This window comes from Homo sapiens, chromosome 7 (genome assembly GCF_000001405.40).
Source record: "Homo sapiens chromosome 7, GRCh38.p14 Primary Assembly".
Classification (NCBI taxonomy): Eukaryota; Metazoa; Chordata; class Mammalia; order Primates; family Hominidae; genus Homo; species Homo sapiens.
The window spans coordinates 44,315,209-44,338,577 of record NC_000007.14 but is presented as its reverse complement, the minus strand read 5'-3'; the positions used below and the strand labels follow the sequence as shown (position 1 = coordinate 44,338,577).

General features: G+C 50.0%; 1 protein-coding gene and 1 long non-coding RNA gene across 37 annotated transcripts in view; one reads left to right on the top strand and one right to left on the bottom strand.

Moving 5' to 3' along the window:
- CAMK2B (calcium/calmodulin dependent protein kinase II beta) overlaps window positions 12,565–23,369 on the top strand; it is a 108,860-nt gene continuing 98,055 nt past the window's right edge. For 34 of the 35 annotated variants that reach the window (NM_172084.3, XM_017012665.2, XM_011515557.2 and 31 more), the window contains exon 1: window positions 12,984–13,221. In NM_172084.3, the coding sequence (NP_742081.1) occupies window positions 13,157–13,221 (65 nt within the window). In that variant the 5' untranslated portion in view covers window positions 12,984–13,156. Of the gene's footprint in view, window positions 12,644–12,983; window positions 13,222–23,369 lie in introns of those variants that run through there. The other variant, XM_011515559.3, reaches the window with a different exon arrangement.
- On the bottom strand, window positions 16,023–17,309 carry LOC124901621 (uncharacterized). Of its 2 annotated transcripts, none has more exons than XR_007060297.1 (2): window positions 17,191–17,309; window positions 16,023–16,970 (listed from the first exon to the last, which is right to left on the bottom strand). It is a non-coding gene; the product is annotated as an uncharacterized LOC124901621 (long non-coding RNA). The 2 variants fall into 2 exon arrangements; XR_007060298.1 differs by having other exon boundaries at window positions 16,023–16,861.

Below are 23,369 nucleotides of genomic sequence, written 5' to 3'. Positions count from 1 at the left end.
CATTAAGAAACCATTATGGAAGTCATCTTCCTTCTGTACCCTTGCTCCATTCTGTTGCCCTCTTCCTTCTTCATGCCCTTACAGAGCTGCTGCTTTTTTGTTTGTTTTATTTTGAAGTAATCTTAAATTTACAGAAAAGTTGCAAAATAGTAAAAAGAGCTCCTATATACTATTCAACCAAATTCCCCAGTTGTTAATACTTTACTACATTTGACTTATCAGTCTTTCTCTCTATATATATACTAATGTATTTTTTTCCTGAATCATTTAATAACAAGTTGTAGATGTGATTCTTCGTCATCCCGTTAAGCCCTTGTGCAAAACAAGGGTCCTTTCCTATATGAACACAGTACAACTGTCAAAATCAGGAAATTGATCTTTATCTGATATTACCATTGAATCCACAGATCCATTCAAAGTTTGCTTATGACATTACTGCCTTAATAATTTCATCAACTATGCAGAGGCAATGCTGTGTTCTTCCTACAGCATTTATATCGGGGGCTCACAATGCTGACTTGTCCCACTCTTCTATCGCATGGTTAAGATGGTGTCTGCTGGATCTCTCCATGTAGCGCTCCTTAGTCCTTCCTGTAGATCTCAGTTTCCATCTGGTATTATTTTCCTTGCCCTGGAGGATGTCCATAGCTTTGACTGTATTACAGGTCTTCTGTCAATGAATTCTCAGTCTTGTCTAAATGTCTTCATTTCAACCTTGTTTTAAAAGGGTATTTTTGCTAGATGAGTATCTTTTTGGTTGAAGCTTTTTTCCTTTCAGCACTTTCATGATGCCATTCAATTGTTTCTGCCTCCATTGTTCCTGGTGAGAAGTTGGTAATGATTCTTATACTTGTTTCCCTGTAAGTAATGTTATACCTCCCAGCAAACCCAGCTGCTTTCAGAATTTTCTTAGGTTTTCAGAACTGTGTGTCTGAGTGTTGTTATTTTTTCTGTTTATCCTGATTTGAGTTTATTGAGACTACTGGATATGTAAATTGATGTTTTTCATCAAATTTGGGATGTTTTGGCCATTATTTCTTCACATATTTGTTCTGCCCCAATTTTACTACACCTTTTCCTTTGAGACTCTGATTACGTATGTGTTAGATTATGTGATACTATTCCACAAGGTTCGCAGGCTCTATTCACTTTCCTTCAGCCTTTTTTCCTTGTGATCTTCAGATAATGTTTATTGATCTGTCTTCATGTTTATCGACTCTTCTACTATCTCCAATCTGCTATTAAGCCTTCCAGTGAATTTTTCATTTCAATTATTATACTTTTTAGTTTTAAAATTTGTATCCAGATACCATTTTGGGGCTGAGTTTTCCTATATACTCACTGATTAAGACTATATCTTACTTTAATTATTTGGACATATTTATAATCGCCACATTACAGTCTGCTAAGCCCAACATCTGGGTCATTTTAGATTAAGTTACTGTTCTATAGTCTGCTTTATTCTTGCCTGGGCATCACATTTTCCTATTTCCTTATATACCTGGCAATTTTTTTTAAAAATTGAATACTAGATTTTGTGGCTAATATATTGTGAAACTCAAAATTGTGTTAACTTCCTCTGAAGAATGTTGATTATTGTTTTAGTAGGCAATTTAATTATTGGCAGATGACTTTGAACTTCCTTACTTAGGGTTCATGTTTTGTTACTGCAGATGCACGGAACATCCAAAATGTTTCCTAAGCCTCTCTAATTTGGCATGACTCAGTTCTTCCCTTTGTATGTGCAGCTTAGTTGTCAGTCAAGGACTTGCAGAGCTCCTGTGTGGGGTTCTGGGACCCCTGCGTGCACAGCTCCCTCTTCTCCAATGCTTGGCTCCACGCATGCCCACTGCTCCCGCTGCTCCACCTCTTCAGCTCCACATGACCCCCGTGCCCTGCCCAGACTCCGGTGCCGTGTGCCACAGTCAGAAAACTCTGTCGGGGAGCACGGAGCAATCACGGGGCTCACCTCCTAAGCGTCCCTTCCCACAGGGATCTGAGTCTTGCACTCCCTGAAAACAGCTGCCTCACGTACTTTGTCCAGATTCATGGTTATTTTTGGTGGGAGGGCTAGTCTGGTAAAACAGCTAGAAGTGGAAGTCACAAGTGATTTTGGCTGGAGAAGGTGATGCTTGTTTCCACATCCAATTTGTCCATGCCCTCCTTGACCTACTGCAACCCAGCCTCTGGCGTTTCTCTGCCTGGAGACTTCTCGACCCAGCTTCCATGACACTCTTCTCTCCTGGATTTGCCCCCGCCCCTTTACTTGCTCTTTCTTTGTCTCCTTAATCACCCCTTCCTCAAACCATCTCCTTGATGCCGCCTCCCTCAGAGACCCCTTATGAGCCCTTTTCTCTCCTCCTGTGACACTCACTAGACTGCAACTCAATCCTTCCTTCTATTGATCATTCTCCCGCCTGTGCCTTCAATTCTTCTCTTTATCTTGGCCTCTAGGCCATATTTTCACTGATACTGCAGGTAGTGGATATTTAGGAGGCCCTTAAACACTACACTCCCTAATTGGAATTTAATATCTGTACCCCATACCTGTTCCTCCTTTTCGTTTTCCCTTTATCCTGCCATTATAGAAAAATAGGAGAGATCCATGCAGCCCCAGCCCCTCCACACTCACTTCTCACTTGCAGTAGGCCACCAAGTCCTGATTCTGAAATATTATTCCAAATGGATGTCCTCTAGCCCCCCGCCAATACATGATAGCTCCTGTTAGCACTGTTAGCATGGATAGTGGCTACAAAGCTGAGGTTGCTACATATGGAGTTTCCAGGGTGTGGTAAAACAGTAGTTAGGCCTGGCCCCCTAGCAATTTCTCTCTGGGGTCAGGGGGAAGTGTTGGGGAGGGGGAAGTTGAGGAGGGGTTTAGAAGATCCCTGGGAGCTTGTGGAGGGGACCCGGACCTACCCAATTCCTGCAGAGGCCCACAGTCCTGGTAGGAGGCTCTGAGGGAGAGCCACTGGGTAGAAACCTAAGTAGGTGGGAGGCAGGAGCTGTCCATTGCCCTCCAGGCCCCAGGGGCTGTGCTAGCATGAGGGGCACCCCAGCCTGGAGGTTGAGTAGCCTGGAGGTTGAGTAGGTTGAGTAGCCCATTATCAGGGCTACTTCAGGCTCTACCTGAGTCTGCTGGCTGTCATGCAGCTGGCCCCTGTGAGGGTCTGGGCCCACTGGCCAGCCTGCTGAGACGCCAGCCGAAGTCCTCCCTCCAGGTGTGTGGCAGATGCCCCGGCCAGGCCAGAGACTGAGGGGCATTCAGAGAGGGGTCACAGAAAAAAAAGAACAAGGCCACAGCCCAACCTGGCTGTGTTCACCTGAAGGGCACCACGTGCCCATACACTTCATGGGCCATTTATTCTTTCCTCCCTGGGAGTCCCCTTTTGTGACCATTCTGTATCAGAGTCCCTAAGTCTCAGTGGCCTGCCAGGCTGGGGATGTGGAGGTGGGACATGGGGGCAGGGACTGGGAAAGGGGGCAGGAGGGCTGTGTTCATTGTGCCAAGCTTCTGTGGAGGCTACAGAGGAGGGCCAAGTGCAGGCAGGAGCCCAGCAGGGCAAACGTGCCCCCGGACTGAGGCCCTGGCAGGAGCCCGGCCAGGCTGGGGCCACTCCACGCTGGGGGCCTCAGGCTCTACCACCGTCCCCTCCTCCATCCACTGGCTTTGCCAGGGTTACCAGGACTCCAGGACCAAGGGAGCGTCCAGCAACCGAGGGATGAGTGTCAGAGTGGGAGACCCTGAACTCCAGGCAGCGGGGGTCATCTCCAAGAAAGGGCCCCAAGGGCGGCGCCTGCTTCAGAGTCAACCGAGGGGAATCCCTGAAGGACAAGAGGGAGTGCGTACGACACTCTCCAGGGGGAGAAAATGCAGCTTTAAGATGTGCTGCCTCCCACTCCATTCTACCCACACCAGTATTTCTGGTGGGGGAGGCAGTGGAACTCAGAGTGTAGGAGTCGTCTCTCTGGGAGGAAGGCCCCATGAGCTGCAAGCGCTGTTTGCATCATCTTGACCCCTGTGCAATTAGAACAAGTGGTTTATTGCCGCCCCCAGGCCTGGCCAGGACCTGGGGTAGGGGGAGGCATGCTGGCATAGAGCCGGTGATAGCAGACCTTGGATGCCAGCGGCCTCCTACCTCCTTCCCTACTGCTGTTTGTCTTCAGGCAAGTTACTTAACCATTCAGGGCCCCAGTGTCCTCATTTGCAAAGTGCTGCTGGTAATAACGTGTCTGGCATACAGGAAGCACTCAAGAAATGCTGGCTCTGACTGTAATCGCCCTGGCTATTTTCTGCTTGCTGTTGCCTGACACCTGTAAGTATGTCCATGCGTGTAGCTTTCCATAATTACGGTGGCTGTGTACAAACTGCATTATATTTGGCGTCCCCCACGCAGGAGGCTCTGTATCCACGGAGCTTCCTCCCTTCCCACTTGTCACGTGGCCCCACATCTCCATCCACTCGCTCCGTTGTTTCTGCCAGGCCAGTCCCCTGCGGGGGGCAATTTGGGTTGTTTCCAGTTTTCTTGGTTATAAATAGCACTGCTGTGCATATCTTTATTACAAATTCCTTCTTTCCTCTGAAACCCTGAATAACTGAGCCCACAGGGCATCCAGTACCCAGCGCAGGCTGTCTTACAAAACCCACAGCACTTCCTGGCCTGCTCCATTGGCATTGCATTGGGTCCTGCAGATGGGCCCCAGGGAGGGGAGAAATCAGGGTGGCCCTCGTTCTCCATTGCTCAGAGCTGCGGGGCAGCCTCAGCACTGGCCCTTCTTGAACCTGCACGGATGCTTGACATCATCTAAGTTCACAGACATGGTAAAAAACTAAGCAAAAACGAAAGAGAGAAACACCCCACCAGTGTTTCTGAACTTGCTGTGCCCTTAAATGTAAAAAGATCTCCTTGGTATCTGGGGCTGAGAGAGGCTGGGGCCCTGGCTGGCTGCAGAGCAGGCCCTGGCAGTGGAGAGGCCCAGCCTCATTTTCTTGTCAGGGTTTCCCCCTTGCCTTTTTTGTTGTTGTTGTTGAGACAGAGTCTCATTCTGTCACCCAGGCTACAGTGCAGTGGCATGATCTCAGCTTACTGCAACCTCCATCTCCCAGATTCAAATGATTCTCCTGCCTCAGCCTCCCGAGTAGCTGGGATTACAGGCTCCTACCACCATGCCCGACTAATTTTTGTATTTTTAGTAGAGATGGGGTTTCACCATGTTGGCCAGGCTGGCCTCGGACACCTGACCTCAGGCAATCCACCCACCTTGGCCTCCCAAACTGCTGGGGTTACAGGCATAAGCCACCACACCCAGTCTTTTTTTTTTTTTTAAAGTAGTACAAATATAGTAAGTGGATATGTTCTTTTTCTTTTCTTTTCTCCTGAGACAGAGTCTGGCTCTGTTGCCCAGACTGGGATACAGTGGTGCCATCACAGCTCACTGATGCAGCTTCAACTTCCTGGGCTCAATGCTCCCCACTCAGCCTCCCAAAGTGCTGGGATTACAGGTGTGAGCCACTGTGCCTGGCTGTGAATACATTCTTATTGTTCAAGGTTCACCACAGTTTTTACATATATTCTGTGATTTTTTACTGTTTTGGGGGTCAATATGAGTAATTCACATTTCCCCAGAAAAACCCCATTTCAACTACATTTTCTTTCCCTTCCTTCCTTCCTTTCTTTTCTTTTTTTTTTTTTCAGAGTCTCACTCTGTTGCCCAGGCTGGAGTGCAATGGCATGATCTTGGATCATTGCAACCTCCGCCCACCGGGTTCAGGCAGTTCTCCTGCCTCAGCCTCCCAAGTAGCTGGGACTACAGGCGCTTGCCACTATGCCCAGCTAATTTTTGTATTTTTAGTAGAGATGGGGGTTTCACCAGGTTGGCCAGGCTGGTCTCGAACTCCTGACCTCTGGTGATCCACCTGCCTTGGCCTCCCAAAGTGCTGGGATTACAAGCGTGAGCCACCGTGCCTGTCCCATTTTCTACTTATTAGCAAGATGTTGTGCAGAAAATTCTTTTATAATTCTTTCTCTCTCTCTCTCTTTCTCTCTCTCTCTCTCTTTCTTTCTGAGATGGAGTCTCACTCTTGTCGCCCAGGCTGCAGTGCAGTGGCGCGATCTCGGCTTACTGCAACCTCTGCCTCCCAGGTTCCAGTGATTCTTCTGCCTCAGACTCCTGAGTAACTGGGATTACAGGCGCTCGCCACCACGCCCAGCTAATTTTTGTACTTTTAGTAGAGACGGGGTTTCGCCATGTTGGCCAGGCTGGTCTCGAACTCCTGACCTTGGGTGATCCACCGGCCTCAGCCTCCCAAAGTGCTGGGATTACAGGCGTGAGCCACTGCGCCCAGCCAATCTTTATTTCTTTATTTTATGTTGCCTCTTTTATACCTATTTTTTGGCTTATTTTTTGTTGCTAGCCAGACTTGTCAGGTTTGTCTATTTTACTCTTTAATTTTTTTTCCCAAAGATCTAGCGTTTGTATTACTGATTAGTTGTGGTAATGATTGTTTTTCTTTCATTAATTTCTGTTTGGCATTATCACGCTCATCCTTTCACCTTTCTTGGGGTTGTTTTGCTATTCATGTCTAGCTTCTTGAGTGGTAAGCCTTAGTTTATTTTCAGTCTTGCCTGCTGTCTGATAAGGGCACGATGGCCTGTGACATCTCCTCTGATGGCTTTGGCCAGGCTTGTAACACAGAGATCACGCCACTGCATTCCAGCCTGCGCATGTTTGTTTCTAAGTTTCATTTCTGTAGTCTCCACATTCTGTCATGTAAATTTCCTGCTGAGCGGATTTATTTGGCTTTCCTTTAGTTATTTCTTTTTACTTTTATTGCAGTGATTCCTGCTTTTGTAGAATTTTTTTTTTCAATTTCCTTTGTCTCCTAGTACTTTGTCTCCTAGTACTTGTCTCCTAGTACTAGGCTCTTCCATGTGACTGAAAAAAGTATATTCTCCATATGGCATATGAACATACATTTCATGTCATTTTAAAGTTGAGGTATACTTTACATACATAATTACACGGAACTTACATGTAAATTACCTTTACATAAAACACACTGATTTTAAGGGTACAGTTTTTTCCAGGTTTTTGACAAATATATACCCTTGTGTAGCCACAGAAAATATACAGAACATTTTAATATCCCAGAAAATTCCCTTCAGCTCCTCCAAGTCAATCCCAGCACCACCCCAACCCTCTGCCGAGACAGCCACTTTTCTGATTTCTAGAACCATTGATTAGTTCTAGAATGTGTAGAATGGAATTATGTGGTGTGTATTCTTTGTGTCTGGCTTCTTTGGTTCAGCCTCATGTCTGAGCGATTCATTCATGTTGTTGAGTGTACTAGTAGTTATTCTTTTTAATTTATTTACACCAATTTGTTTACCTGCATTCCTGTTTATGGACATTAATACATTGCTTCCAGTTTCACCTACTGTGAATAAAGCTACTATAAATGCTCTTGTACAAGTTTGTTTCTTTGTTTTTCTTTTCCTTTTTTTTTTGAGACAGAGTCTCGCTCTGTCACCCAGGCTGGAGTGCAGTGGTGCAATCTTGGTTCACTGCAACCTCTGCCTCCCAGGTTCAAGCAATTCTCATGCCTCAGCCTCCTGGGTAGCTGGGATTACAGGTGTGCACCACCATGCCAGGCTAATTTTTTAATTTTTAGTTGAGACGGGGTTTCAATATGTTGGCCAGGTTGGTCTCGAACACCTGACCTCAGGCGATCTGCCCGCCTCAGCCTCCCAAAGTGTTGAGATTACAGGCATGAGCCACTGCACCCGGCCTCTCTTTTTCTTTTCCTGACATATGTTTTTACTTTTTTGGGGTAAAAGCCTAAGACGAATTGCCAGGTCATAGGGAAGGTATTTGTTTAGCTTTATAATAAACTGTCAAACAGTTCTCCAAAGTGGCTGTCCTGTATTTATGCACATTCTCTTTTATAGTGTTTTGCATCTGTCAACAATAATAATCCTAACAGCAATTAGATATTAGCTCCTATCACAAGGCAGAACCCAGAAACAGCTGCCTTGTGCTCCCTGGACTTTGGTTCCTTAGCAGCGAGGGCTGGAGAATGAGCGAGGCACTGCATGGACGAGGCGGCAAAAGCCACATTTTCCCCAGCATCCTTCTCCACTTCTTCAGTCATAGACACCCCACAACCCAGCCTCCCTTGCAGCCAAATGAAAGCACGTGATTCAGCTGTCAGCGGGGTCATGTGGCAGAAAGTTGACCAGTGCCCACCATTCCCCCTCCCTTTCTCTATCCTGCTGCTGGGAACATGGATATGACAGCTAAATCTCCATGTCAGAGCTCCAGGAAGAGGGCCAGCGCCAGATGCAGGAGCAGAAAGCTGGAGGCAGCTTGGTTCCTGAGGGCTTTGCGACCACCCCAGGTGCCACCCCTGATGCTTAGGGGAATGGCTGCCTTGTGTTAGCCCTGGCTGGTGCACACAGGCCTGTGTCCATGCTGGGAACTCCAGGCTGGTAGCCAGGCTTTCTGCTTTAGCACAGCCTTTGTGCCTGCAGTTGGAAGCTACACAGGGTGGGATGGAAGGGGCCTGAGTGCAGAGTCTTCTGACACATGCTAGGAGGCCATTTCCACGATGACAAATCCCTGGTGTCCACTACAGGGAAGGAGGATCTGGGAGCCACTTATGGGCCATCTGGGACCTGCTCCTATCAGCCTAACTACTCCTAGCTGCTAGATATACCTGCGTTGGGGGCCTGCCTGGGCTGGGACAGTGCCTGGACTTCTGGGGCCTAGGGCCTGAGGCAACTCCAGGAGGATGGAGGTGACACCAATGAGGACAGCTAAGGTGGGGTCAGTCAGGAAGGGTCCACCTCGCCTGGTAGCCAGAGAGTGCCAGGGGTGCTCCAGGGAGCCCCAGCCAGCAGAGGGGGGGGTGGCCCAGAGCCTCAGCCTGGCAGCAGACTTAGCAGGGGTTGCTCTCACTTCCCTCCCTTTGCCCAAGGGCACAGTATCTCCGGGACAGGTGCTGGTGTCCAACTTATGCTTGGATGCTTGGTGAGAAGGGAGGAAGTCTAGGGGGTTCTCACCCTATGTTCTCGGGCCAAGCCTCTGAGCCAAGCCTGTGGATGCTGCTCCCGGCCCAGGGCCATAATGGTTAGTTGGCTTTATCACTTTGCTTGTTAGTCATCAAGGTGGTTCCAAATCCCTTGGAGGACTCAGGTGACATCTGCCAATAAGCCACTGACAAAATGCCCTTGCTGGGTCTGACTGCTTCACCCTCTTCCCCACCGTCTTCATTCCCTAAACACACCAGCTAGTGCCTGCCACAGGGCCTTTGCATGGCAGCCTCTTCTGCCAACACCCTGCCCTTTGGCTCTCAAGGGTAGCCTCTCTGTTTCATTCAGACTTCAGCTTAGACATCACCTCCTCAGAAAGCTCTTCCATGGACTTCCACTCTGAAGTTGCCACCCTGTCACTCTCTAGCACACCACTTTGTTTTAAATCTACATACAACATGAGTACTAGATGCATTCTTGTTTGCTTGTTATCAAGCTCTGCAAAGGCAGAATCCTTTTCTATCTCATTCCCTGATGTGACTGAGTGCCTGGACAGAGCTGGGCACACAGTAACTGCACAAAGAAGGCTGGTGGACACCCCTAAGCAGGACACAGTGGTTAAAGGAACCAGCCACAAAGTCAGGCAGATCCAGATGCCAATACTAAACTAGCTGTCTGACCTGAGGCCAGTTAGAGTCTGTGTCTCAATTTCCTCATTTGTAAAAGGGAGGCAATGATAATGCTATGAAGTTTATTCAAAATGGTGGATGTTGGACTTTTAGAATGGTTTAGGGCAGGTGATGAGTGAATTGTAAATTGTAGCTATGGCCTTCATCATCACCATCACCATCACCACCATCATCATTGTCACCAACACCATCATTATCACCACCACCATCACCATCCCCACCACCACCACCATCAGCAGCACCACCATCACCACCACCATGACCATCACCATCATTGTCACCAACACCATCATTATCATTATTACCACCACCACCAGCACCACCATTACCATCATTATCATTATCACCACCACCACCACCATCATTACCATCATTATCGTAACCATCACCACCATAGCCACTCCATGTGCTTGCCACTGTGTCCTGTATGGGCTGCCATGTCAAGGGCCAGATGATGGGAGATGGATGGACTAGGGTCTTCCTGCTCTGGGAACCACAGCCTGCTCTCCCTGGTGGATGGCTGGGCCTGAGAGAGGAGGTGCAGTGACACCCTTCCACATGACAGCAGTCCCTGGAGGTGAGGGGGACAGGGGAGGCGTGGCTTTCTTTGGGATAATGAACCCCATGTGCAGCACTTTTGGCTCTGCAGATGTGATGCTTGTTGCCATGGTGACCGTCCTAACAATAACCTCCCAGAACTGATATTCCCCACACCCTCCCCAGCTGCCACCTGGGAGGGAGAGCCCTCCTCGCTTACGAAAGCAAGCTTGAAAGGACAAGGTGGGAGGCAGAGATGACACGGGGGTTGGGGTGGAAGTGGGCCCTTCCTGAAGGCAGGGGTGGGAAGAGGGGGAAGTCTGGGCCTCTCTGACCAGAGCCAAAGCCAGATGAGAGGGCTTCTGGAATCTGGGACCAGAGAGTCATGGCTGGAAGTCTTTCTCCCTTCTACCCATTTTCCTATGATAGGGAGAAGCCGTCTGGGTCTGAGGGTGGGGACTGGGCTGTTTTTTGAGTGTTAGTGTGGGGTCAAGCTGTCTGGGTAGGGACAGTCTGGCTGCCTCTGATAGCCCAGCCCTTCCCCACTGTCTGGTGCCCAATCATGCCAACCTTCCTGCGCTCGCCAGGGTAGCTCTGCTTCATACCTCTAATATTTCAGCTCGGAGGAGGGACTGCCTGGGGGTCCCAGGTGCTAACAGGTACAAAAGGCGGGAAGAAGTATAGGATACAATGAATCTCAAATTGCATCTCTTAGTGACCCCACATTCTTGTGTAACCCTGGTCCTGGGCAGCTTCTCAACTTTTGAAAGGTGACCTCGGCCGGGTGCAGTGGCTCATGCCTGTAATCCTAGCACTTTGGGAGGCCGAGGTGGGTGGATCACCTGAGGTCAGGAGTTTGAGACCAGCCTGGCCCACATAGCTGGGGCTGTGAGCCACTGTGAGCTTGTTACAGGCGTGAGCCACCGTGCTTGGCTTGTTATTTGTATTCTGTTGTGTGGCCCTACCTCGTCTTTCCAGAGCTCAGAAAGGGAAAATATGGATGCATCCAGCAGGTGCTGGAAGAAACTCCTGTGGGGTTAAACACAACGCCAAGAACAAACCTCAGACTTGGCCTCCAGTCCTTTCTCGAGCCCATGCCAGTCTGTCTGTTAGGATGGCCCAGGATTCTCTGAGTCCAAGTCTGACATAGACGGGGTCTCCCTTCCTGCTATGGTCCTGCTGAAGTCAAGGCCAGGATCCCTCTGCTTCCTCAGCTGGGGACTTCCCCAGGTGGCCCAGCATTTGCCTTTGGCCTGAGAATTTCTCGTCCTCTAGTGTCTTCTGGGTGCAGGTGGGTCGATGGCAGGGACTTGTTGCCGTGTGGTCTACTAATTGCCCAGCAGTCCCATGCCAAATGCATCCTGGCCCAGAAGGGCCCTGGCTGCCAGCACTCAGAATGCCTTTATCCCCTCCCTTATCCACATGACATTTATTGTGGCTTCTGGGGCTTGCCCTGGGCTGGCCACGAGGTGAGAGGGATGAGCAGGATAGGCCCAGAATTGGTCCTTGGGGAGCAGTAAGGAAGTCATATCAGGGCAGCAGCGTGACCCAAATCCAGAGCTGGCTGCTGGAAACCCCCTCCTCAGAGCCTGCCCAGGATGGACCCCGTCAGAGAAGAGTGTGGGGATGCTGGAGCCCAGTGGTCTAAAGTCCCGGTTCTGGACAGCAGCCCTGGTGCCAGGCCTCAGGGAAGGCTGTTTTGTGGGAAACCGGGTCGCCCTGCCTCCTGCCTGCCTCCCTGCACTCTCCTCCTCCTTGGCTGCTTTCAGGAGGGGGTTGGGGTGTGTGGGCCCTCCTCCTCCAGGCAAAAGCAGGGGGCAGGCAGGTGGACCGTGCTGGAAAAGGAGAGAATGTGCACCTTTACCTGATCAGGGTGGCTGTGAGCTCTCAGGCCCCCCAAATTGCTGGTGGAGCAGCCCCTGTTCCCCTGGCTCAGGGTCCGTTGGTCTGGACTCCGAATGTTGCCTCCTGGGACCTCCATTCCAGACAACCCAGCAACCAGTCTTTGGAGAAGTGAGGGGGAAGGGAGGGGCTGGGGCCAAGGGGAGGGGGCAGGCCCCACCCTTTCACTTTCTCATGCTAGTGACCCAGTGTGTACACTGCCTTCTGGGCGGTTCCTCCTGGCCAGGCAGCCTTTGGGGCATGTGTGGCTGATGGAGACTGGGCAGAAGGGATCTGGCAGCATCTCTTCCTGAGGGTGTGAGGAATGAGTCCTGTGGAGGGCAGCACATGAGCCCTCTACCTCCATGTGGGCCCCAGTCCCCTCCTGCTGTCAGGCTAGGTGGGCCTTCGAGAGAGAGAGAGGAGGCTGCGTTCATTATGTGCACTCTTCTGTGTTATGTGAGAGCGAGGGGTCGGCAGCAGCAAGTGGCCTGCGTGCGCGAGGTGCGGGCGTGGTGCGGGTAGAGGATGAAGGCGTCAGTACAGGGCGCGGGTGTGTGTGTGGGGTGCGGGGGCGGGCGGGGGCGGGCGCGCGTGTGAGTGCAGGTGCAGGTGCAGGTGCGTTGCGGGTGCGGGGCAAGGGTGTGTGTGCAGGGCGCGTGTGCAGATGCAGGGCGCCGGTGCCCTGCGGGTGCGGGTGCAGGAGCAGCGTGTGCAGGGCGCGGGGAAGGCGCGTGCAGGGGGCGGCGGGCGGGGCGGGCGCGGCGGCGGCGGCGGTGACAGCGGCGCCCGCGCCTCCCCGCGCGTAGGTGTGCGGCGCGCTCCTGGCGAGGACGGAGCGAGCAGATCTCGCGTGCGCTCGCCGCCCGGCGCAGCCCAGCCCGGCCCCCGCCTGGCGCCGCGAGCCGAGGTGTCTCCCGCGCCCGCGCCCGTGTCGCCGCCGTGCCCGCGAGCGGGAGCCGGAGTCGCCGCCGCCCGAGCGCAGCCGAGCGCACGCCGAGCCCGTCCGCCGCCGCCATGGCCACCACGGTGACCTGCACCCGCTTCACCGACGAGTACCAGCTCTACGAGGATATTGGCAAGTAAGAGCAGCGGCGCGCGCGGGCTGGGCCGGGGACCCCAGAGGGCCGGGACCTCCGGGACCCTCCGCGCCGCCGGCTCCAGGCGCACTGCGGGCCCGCGCGCCGCCGGCTTCTCTGGGCTCCGGGCCCAAGCGCACGGCCCCGCGCGGCCCCGACCCGCGAGCCCCCGGCCCCGGGCCTGGCTGCCTGACCTCAGCGCGCGCGGCCCTGCCCAGCTCTGCCCAGCGCGGCTGCCGGGCCGGGGCTCCGGGCTCGCGACTTGGCGCGGCGGGGGCGGCAGCAGGTGTCCCCGGAGCGCCCGGCAGACGTGACGCATTTGGCGGCGGGGAGGTCAGAGAGGAGGGGCGCGCGGGGGTGGCCCCCGGGCCTGGAGCGCCGGGAGGGGTCGGCTGCGGCCCCAGAGGGTCGTCCCCGACGCGGGTGCGCTGTCCCCACCCCCACCCGAGCGGCAGGCGGCGGGGGTGGCGGGACCTGCTTGCGCCTGCTCCTGCGCGTGGCCCCATCCGCGCTGGGGGTGCCGGCGTGGGAGAGCCTCTGCTGTAGGTCCCCTGGGGAATCTGGGTTCTGGAGGATTTTCCCCCAGATTCTTCTGGAAACAGGAATTTGGAGGTGTGGGGAGGACGAGGTCAGGGAGCCTGGATCAGGTCATGGGGATAGCGGGGAGAGACTAAGAGCCTGACTGGATTGCAAATTTCAGGGTCATCGAGGTGGATGGGGGCTGGATTTTGGACTGTTGGCGGGGGCGCCCTAAAGGGGAAGGGGCTTTGAAGGTTTGTTTGAAGTGGGACCTCACGGGGAACAGGTGCTGTGGCTCCCGTTCTCTCCTTGGCAGTATGAGCAGTGTAGGGCGAAGGTCTGGTTCGTGGTCCCCGGACCCGGCTTTGCCCCTGGGGTGAGATGGGGAGCGCCTCAGGGGCCTCCTGTCTGGCCTGGGGTCTCCCGTTCTGAGAATCAAGGTGGCTGCACCTGGCATCCCTAGGGCTAGCTTCAGAACTCCTGAATCTCCAGCCTGACTGGGCCAGAGCCCCATCCTCCTGCGTCCTCCCCCATCCTCCTCCGTCCCTTCAGTGCAGGCGGTGGGGGCGCTGGCGGTGCTGGCGAGATTTCCTCTTACACATCCAGCAACAGATCCTTTTTTTCCTTTACTAAATAAGTGTCTGGTGAAACCTTGTGGTGGGTGAGGGACGCTGATCATTGATAATTGTGGAGTGCGGAGCTGGAGGAGTGTGGGGGTGTGTTCATTCCCCACTTCTCCCTGCACGTGTGGAGAGAATTCTGGTAGGGGTTAGGGATGTGGAGCCCAGCCCTGCAAGAAGCCCATGCTGGATGGGTGGGGTGGGGGGCCAGGCTGGCTGGGGGACCCTTCCTTGGGTGGATCTGGAGAGCACCACAGGGCTGAGACCTCGAGGGAGAGGGCGAGCCCAGCCCCCTTCATGCGGATCCCTGAGTGGGTGGCTGGCTCCCCGGTCTTCACCCCTCAGATGCACCGATCTACCCCCGTCTGTCCTCTTGGCCTCCAGAGGTGTCCTGGCCACTGGAGGGGCAGGTGGGTGGCAGTTAATGTGCCTGGTTCTCTGAGGAAGAGAGCAACAGTGGGAAGTCAGTCTTTCCTCAGGAGCCTTCTTGTTGTCTTTTCTGCTTGCGCTCAGAAGCACAGAGGCCCTCACAGCAGGTGTCCCTGGTCTTCTCCAAAGAAGCCACTTTCAAGACCTCCCCATGTGCACCCAGTGTCCTCAGACTGCAGCTCACTCTGGCTGTTCCTTCTTCCCTTTGCTGCGAGCCTCCCTGCGTCCAGCGGCAGTGTCCGGGTGGCCAGCTCCCCGCTGAGCCTCCGATTCCAGCGCAGCTGGATGTCCTGGCCAGTGCCACCCACACTGGGGAATGGAGGTCTTTGGGGCTGCCTGGGGAAGGTTGAGAGAGGTGGCTCCAGAGGTGGAGACCAGGTGGGGCTAAGACTGCTGGGCTTCTCTGTCAAGCCAGAGAATGAGCTGCTGCTGGAAAGGAGCGAGTGTGGCCTCCTGAGCGAAAGCACTGGGAGCCATGCATTGCGAGGTGAGGAGTGGGGCCTGGCATCGAGGGGAGCCCCATGACCTGGGACAAGAGGAGATGCCCAAGCCAGGAGCAGGCAGCTCAGCCTAGTGCACCTTTGTGGAGCCCTGCTAGGCGCCGGGTCCCTGGCGACGCCAAGGGCCTACCACTGCCCTGCTGTGGCGGCTCTTGGGTAGGGAAGGGACCGATTCCTCGGGGGTGCAGCCGTGCCATAGAGGTGGGCCAGGGAGCTGGGAGGGCAGAGCAGGGCACCTAAGGGGGATGTCTGAGGCCAGGGCTCAGTTGTGGGCACTCAGCCCATTTGCAGCGCTGGGGTCCCTTGGTTGTTATGCTGGCTGGTTGTTGACAGTGCCTGCCCAGGGCACAGTTGGTGTTGCTTCCTGGCCCCAGGTGGACATGTCCAAGTTTATTTAAAGCTGCAGCCACTGGCACCCAGTCAGGTGGCGCTGAGCTCCCTGCCCAAAGGAAGGGCTTGGCCTCAGGCCCACAGCTGCTCATGTGTGACGAGGCCACTGGCCTTTCCCCTCCCTTGCCCCATCCTTTTCTGCTGTCTCTGCTCCCGAATCTTCCCCAGAGGCCTGGGCAGCAGGGTCAGCCAGCCAAGAGGGGCCGCTTTCTGGGGCCCTGCCCTGCCCAGCTCTATAGGGAGTGTGTGCCCTTCCCTGCTCAGCCTGGCAGGGCTCACAGACACTAGCCTGGTGGCCCATGTGGGAGCAGGTACAGAGCAAGGCAAGGAAGCCCTCAGCCCGGCATGGCCCAGCCAACAGTGCAGTTTTTATTTTTTTTATATTGGATAAACTTTAAAAATCCAGAAAAATCCCAGAAATAATAAAATGAACACAGTATCTCTTCTACACAGAATTGAAAATGGTTACTCTTTTGTCATTTTGGCTTTAAGTCCTTTTTTAAAAAAATTATAAGAAGTATTACAAAGAAATATTAAGTAACCCATTTCCTTCCAACTACTGCTTTTGTATTTTTCCTCCCAGGCTCTTTCGGGTACATTTACACATGGATATAAGTATCCATAACTAATATATAGGATTGTTTTGTGTGGGTGTTTTTCTTAACTTTACATAAAAAACCTGGAACTTGTACTTTTCACTCAACAGTCTTGTTGACACCTGTGCTCGTCGATGTGTTTGATCGCAGGCTGCTGCGTGGCGACCTGTAGTGTGAACACTGTCCTGCGTGCCCCCATCCCAATGGAAATCTAGGTTGTCTCCTGTGTTCCATTGTCACTCAGCACACTGTGGCCAGCACCGTCACGGCCCGGGCCCTGAATGCGTCTGGGGCGCAGGTGTGAGAGTTTCTTTAGGGTGTGTCCCTGGCAGTGGGGCTGCCGAGGAGGGTCCTCGAGTCTTCTGTCTTTGCAGGTGCCGCCACTCTCCCTGCAGTGTCCACTCACACAGCAGCGTTGGGGCCGCCCCTTTCCCTGGGTGCTGCCATTCCTCAGGTTGGCAGGTTGTCAGTGTTGATGGGTTGTCAGTGTCGACCGTTTGTTGGGTAGGAAGAGGTCTCACATTTTGTATTCAGCCTCGTGAATCTTCCATTTTTGGGGAGTTGTCTCTTTTCAAACATGGAGATCTCCCTAGAAGAAAGCATCTCCCACGAGGTTTTGGATTTCATTTCAGGGGTTCATGGGCCCCTCCTTTTTTGGCGGAGATGGCAGCTAGGGCTGGGCCATGTTGTAACAACACCTAATGTGTACATTACTTTAAATGTTTGGTTTTATTTGATTCCAATTGTCCAGAAAGGCCCTTCTCCCCAGCCCCATTTTACAGACAAAGAACCGAAGTTCAGGAAAGATTGGCAACTTGCCCAAGCCCAGGCAGCAAGAATGGCCCCTGAGCTCCAGTCTAGGGCATCTCCCACCCCTCCCATCTCTCCCACTAAACCTGAGATAGGCCCAAAACTGACCTTGATATGTCCTTGACTCCATCCAGTGGTACCCCAGTCGCCAGCAAGCGACTATATCCTGGGGTGTGTGTGGCCTGACCGCTCGCGGGGGCATCACTGTCAGCTGGCGGATGCCTTCTGCCGAGAGGCACACTGTGAACAAGCGAATGGCCTGTTAGGTAGTTAATAGATAAACTTAGGAAATTCAGAGCGAATCAATTTTTGAGTCTCCAAGCTCTGAGCCGGTTGCCAGGGAAGAGAGGAATGGAGGAGGAGGGATCATCGTATTTGCTTTCTCTCTCCCCAGAGCACACCAGGCACTCCCTGCCTCGGGGGCCTTGGCCAAGCTGCCTCTCTTCCCCTGACCCCTCACAGCTCACTCCCTTGGGCTGCTCAGCAGGCTCTCCCAGATGCCCCCTGCCCTGGCTCTCCTTTTGCCTCCCCACTGCTCCCTGCCCCTCCCCCTAGCTTGTCTTCTCCCTGGCACTTTGCCCCATCTGATGTGCTGGACAGCTTACCCACAGAGAGGCGGAGGTCCGGCTCCCTGCCATGGTTGTGTCCCCAGTGCCTGGCCCGAGGTGGGGAAGGGGTGAGTTGGGTGGGCCTCTGCCTTCCGGCCTGGCTCCCAGGAGGCCAGCAAGAGTCCTCCTGGTCTTGATTCCTTAATGTAGGGTAGTTTAAAAAGAAGTCGCACATGCTGAGATTGCTGGCAAGATGTGCATTAAGGTGATGCTAGTTTAGTTACTATTTAATGGTATTTTTATACCATAACCTACTTTGCTGAGAGCTAAGAATATATCTGCATGCTTGCTACCAGGACTTTTCTTTTCTGGTAACAGTTGCTAGCGCTTAAATGGTGCTTATTATATTAACGCGCTAGATCTGTGAAGTAGGTACTGTAATCATCCCAAGTTTACAGGAGAGGTAGCTGAGGCACAGAGAAGCCCCATTCCCCAGGAAAGGTCACACAGGGTCAGGATTTGAATCCACATTCTGCTCCTCTCAGAAGCTCATTACCCTACTCTATTCTGTGCTTTAAAAATGCTGTGACTCCACTGGCTGACTCATGGCCAGCTTGTGGTCTACTCTGACCTGAGGCTTTTGGGCACCTGTCCTTGGCCGGCTGCTCACCATGATGTATTTGTGCTTTTCCAAACCAAGGGCCCCCTACCTCTAGGTTCCCCTTTGTGAAGATGTTACTTCGTTTCGTCATCAAAGACAACCAACACTCTGACTCCATATGACACCAGCAAGACTAGAAATTTTTATTTTATTAATTAAATTACCAGGGCAATATGATCTTGTAAAACACACACAGACACATACACACACACACCAAGTAATACAGAAGTACGTGCCGTAAAATGTGACTCCTTTACACTCAAGTTCCCTCACTCTCCAGAGGTACCTGGCCTCTTAATTTTAATGTCAGTATGAGGATATGTGTGTGTGTACATATATACACATCTACATATATAGCAGATATAGATGATTTCAAAACACAGATGGAATCACCATATATGTGATTCTGCAATCTGTTTGCCCAACACTTTCATGACGACCCCCCGTGTCAGTAAGTCTTTTCTTCAGCTAAGTGCCTTCCAATTCTTAGCAGAGAAATGTGTGCATACGCGTTGGCCACATTTTTTAAACCAAAAATTGGGACCCATCCTCTAGCAAGTGTGATGGGATATATAATAGGATGCTATATTTGAAATCAGGGCCTGAAAGGTCATTAGGAGGGCCCAACTGTTGTGAAGGAAAGCTGTGTTCTCAGCACGACCAGCTGCAGGGGCTGGGCCTGTGGAGGTGGGTGCAAGTGGACTCCTGCCGCGGTCAAAGGCCACAGGACTAAGGATGTCTCAGGTCTCACTTGAAAGAACTGAAGGACCTATTCCCATCTTTCCATCCCCCTTTTCTAGGAATCCCGAAGAGCAGAGGGGAGAGATATGCAATGTTTAGGTTTTGTATCTTCTACTTAAAAATTCTAACAGGGATGTTTCCCTCATTTTTGCTCCATTGGCCTTTAAAGAGTCTATATTGAGCCACCCTAGAATTTAACAGTAATTTACTAGAAGAGACCAGGTGGAGATAAGTGTGCAATGTCTGTCCCTGGGAAGACCACTCCCATTTCCCTGTGTTCCGTGATGCCACCTCCCTCATCCAGGCAAGAGATGTGGCCTTTCTGGAGATTTTAAATATATTTTCAAAAAATTTAATTCTCTCTCTCTTCCCCCACAAAAATTGAATCTGATTTGATTATTTTTAAAGCATCTTTTACAGCTGCAAGTCACTTTGTTAGTGTAGAAACATAAAAATGCATTATGTATCAACTTGGTTTTTAAAAAATTATCATATTGGCATATTACACAGATATGTATATTTTATTCATAGAAAAACTTGAATTTATTTAAAATGAAAACATCCTTTTATGTTAGAGAAAGGTGGTGTTGCTAGCTGCCAAACTTTTGGGTGGCTTTTGTCTCCTGGGTTAGAGGGTCACTTGTTGAGGGCTCAGTTCCTGGTGGACATAGTTCTTTTTGTATTGACATAATTATCCAAAAATAACTTAAGTTATGATTCTTTGTTAAGCCAGACAGAAGCTTTTGTTGAATTCTAGAACAGATTGGCAACAACCAGGCAAAGATTTAAGAAGATTTTATGGGAGGAAGCATAATGGCACACTTGTACAGGGTGGAATTTGGGACCCACAGTCCTTGTTTCCTCACTTTGTGAGCAGCAAGAGAAGCCTGGAGGGCAGGAGCTGCTGTCGCCCTTACAATGAAGTACTGCAGGTGTTATGCCTTTTGCTGTAATGCCCTCTGGGTGTCAAGCACATCCCAGTGAGTGCCGTTTCCAGCAAGGAGCTGAGGAGCCTTGATTCTGTCACCCAACACACCCTGAATTCAAGTGCTGAGAACAGTGCCTGGCACACAGTAGGTGCTCCACAGTGACTCAGCAATGGTCTGGGTCACTCAGGCCTTGCACCTGGGACTGCTTCCCAGAGCAGTGGCACACCCACCCTGTAAAAGATGAGGGCCTTATAAGAGGTATTGGGTGGCTCTGCAGGTAGGTCTTGCGGGTATTCTGATGTCCAGTCTGGGTAGACAGTCTTGTCACCCGGTGAAATGCAGTAGCAGGGCTGTCAGCACTTATATGTCTGTCATGGAGCTTGACTCCAAGAGGCTTGCAGCTTTCAGCTAATTTCTTAATGAGGTTGTTCACATGACTTCTTGTTTGTTGAGGTGCTGCCTGATTCTCAGCGTCTGTGAGTTTGATCCAGGCCATTAGTTAGGGGCTTTCTGGGCAAAGGGTAGGAGTCTGGTTAGGAGCAGGCCCTCCCAAAGAAGATGACCATGTGGTGGTTCTCAACCCCAACCACACATGGGAAGCCCCTGAGGAGTGTTCAGGCCCCATCGCATTTAGCCAGACACTAGGGAAATGGGGTATCAGCAGTTTTTAAAAGCTCCCAGGTGATTCCAATGGGCACTGCATACCTAGACTCTGCAGAGGAGTCTGCACCTGAGGCCAGACACTCGCCTAAGCCCACACTCCTTCATATAACCCTTGGTTCTTTCAGAGCCCACCTAGGCATGAATTTGAAGTTTACCTTCATTTTCTCTACATTCACAATGACATTACTACCCCACCGCCCACCCCATCCAAGTTGTCGAGAGCTGCATTGTCCAGAAGAGATAAAATGTGATACAAAGTTGAGCCATATGTGTGATTAAAAATTTTCTAGTACGTAAAGAAAAAAAAGAAACAGGTGAAAGGAACTTTAAAAATATATTTATTTAACTTTATATCCAAAATATCATTCAGAGGCCTGGTGCGGTGGCTCGTGCCTGTAATCCCAGCACTTTGGGAGGCCAAGGTGGGTGGATCACTTGAGCCCAGGAGTTAGAGACCGTGGGCAACATGGCAAAACCCCATCTGTACAAAAATTAAAAAATCATTTCAACATGTAATCAAAACAGAAATTATTAAGCTATTTTGCATTCCTTTTTGTACTACGTCTTGAAATCTGGTGTGTATTTTACCCTTACGGCACATCTCAGTTTGGACCAGGTTCTTATGACTACATGGTGACAGTGACCACAGTATTGGACAACACAGGGCCAGAGCTTCAAAATCACCATGCTTTTTTTTTTTTTTTTCATTTTTCCTGGTTTCTTTTAAGGATAATAGTTACAGTCATAGCTGTCTTAGTCTGTTCCAGATTTCTTTTGCTCTCCTGAAGACTTATTCATTTATTCAGCAAGTCTGGTTGCCTGTACTTACCATGTGCCATAGGTGCTTGGGAAACAGTAGTGAACAAAGCAGTCAAGGATGCCTGCCCTTAGGGAGCTTATATACTGCTGGATAGAGGCAGGCAATAAACATAAATACTAAAAAAATTATATGATAGGGTAGAAGGTGATTAATACCTCTGAGAATAATTAAGAAGACTCAGGAGTGCTAGTTAGGAGGAAGGTTATTATTATAAAAAGGATGGTAAAGCCAAGAAAAAAGAAGACTCCAATTGCTAAAATCAGGAATGACACAGGGGACCTTACTGCCAACCTTACAGAAAAAAAATTATAAGGAAATAACTATGAATAATTATGTGCCCTCAAGTTAGATAACCTGGATGAAATGGACAAATACTTAGAAAGACACAAACTACTGAATCTGGCTCAAGAAGAAATAGAAAATCTGAATAGACCTATAACAAGTAGAGACTGACTTAGTAATTTAAAATTTTCCCACAAAGGAAAGCTTAGGCTCAGATAATTTCACTGGTAAATCCTACCAAACATTTAAAGAAGAATTAATACCAGTCTTTTACAAGCTCCCCCAAAAAGTAGAAGAGGAGGAAATTCTTTCCAATTCATTCTGTGAAGCCAGCAATACCCTAATACCAAAACCAAAGATATCACAAAACTACAGACTGTTATCACTTATGAATGCAGATGAAGCATCCTCAACAAAACACTAGCAAAATAAATCTAGCAACATATAAAAAGGATTATTTATACATTATGAACAAGTAGGATGTATCCCAAGAATGAAAGGTTCATTCAGCATACAAAAATCAATCTATATAATACACCACGTTGATAGAACAAACATTGAAACTATATGAACCATTTCAATAGATGCAGAAAAAGCATTTAAAAAAAAACCAATACCATTTCATGATAAAAACTCAACAAATGACAAGTAGAAAGGAACTTCCTTAACTTGATAAAATACATTTGTGAAAAATCTGCAGCTAACCTCATATTTAATGGTGGAAAACTGAATGTATCTGCTCTTTCCATTTCTAGGCAGCACGGTATAGGAGATTCTAGCCAGGGCAATTAGGCAAGAAAAAGAGATAGAAGGCTCCCAGATTGGAAATAAATAGTTATAGCTACCTCTCTTTTCAGATTACATGCTTTCGTATATAGAAAATCCTAAGGAATCCATTTAAAAAACTATTAGAACTAAAAAATGAATTTAGCAAAGTTGCAAGATGTAAGACCAATATACAAAAATCCATTGTATTTCAATGGACTAGAAGTTCAAAATAACAAAATTAGGAAAAACAATTTACAATAGCATCTAAAAAATAAAACACTTAATACTAAATTTAATAAAAGAAGTACAAGACTTGTACATTGAAAACCACAAACCACTGTTGAGAGAAATTAAAGAAGACCTAAATTAATGGAAAGACATCCCATGTTCATGGATTGGAATATTTAATATTGTTAAATAGTAGTATACTCCAAATTGACCTACATTTTTGCTATGAAAATTCCAGCTGCGTTTTTTGCAAAAATTGACAACCTGGCCCTAAAATTCACATAGGAATGCAAGAGACCCAAAATAGCTAAAACAATCTTGAAAAAGGAGAACAAAGTCAGAGGACTCACGGGTTCTGATTTCAAAACTAACTACACAGTTACAGCAATCAAGACAGTGTGGTGTTGACATAAGGATAAATACATAGATCAGTGAAATAGGATTGAGAGTGTAGAATAAATCCATACATCTATGTTCAGTTGATTTTTTACAAGGGTGCCAAGACAATTCCAGTGGAGAAGAATAACGGTCCATTCAACAAATGGACAATTGAGTATCCACATGCAGAAGAATGAAGTTGGAGCTGTACTTGACACCATATACAAAAATTATTTCAAAATAAATAATAGATCTAAATGTAGGAGCTA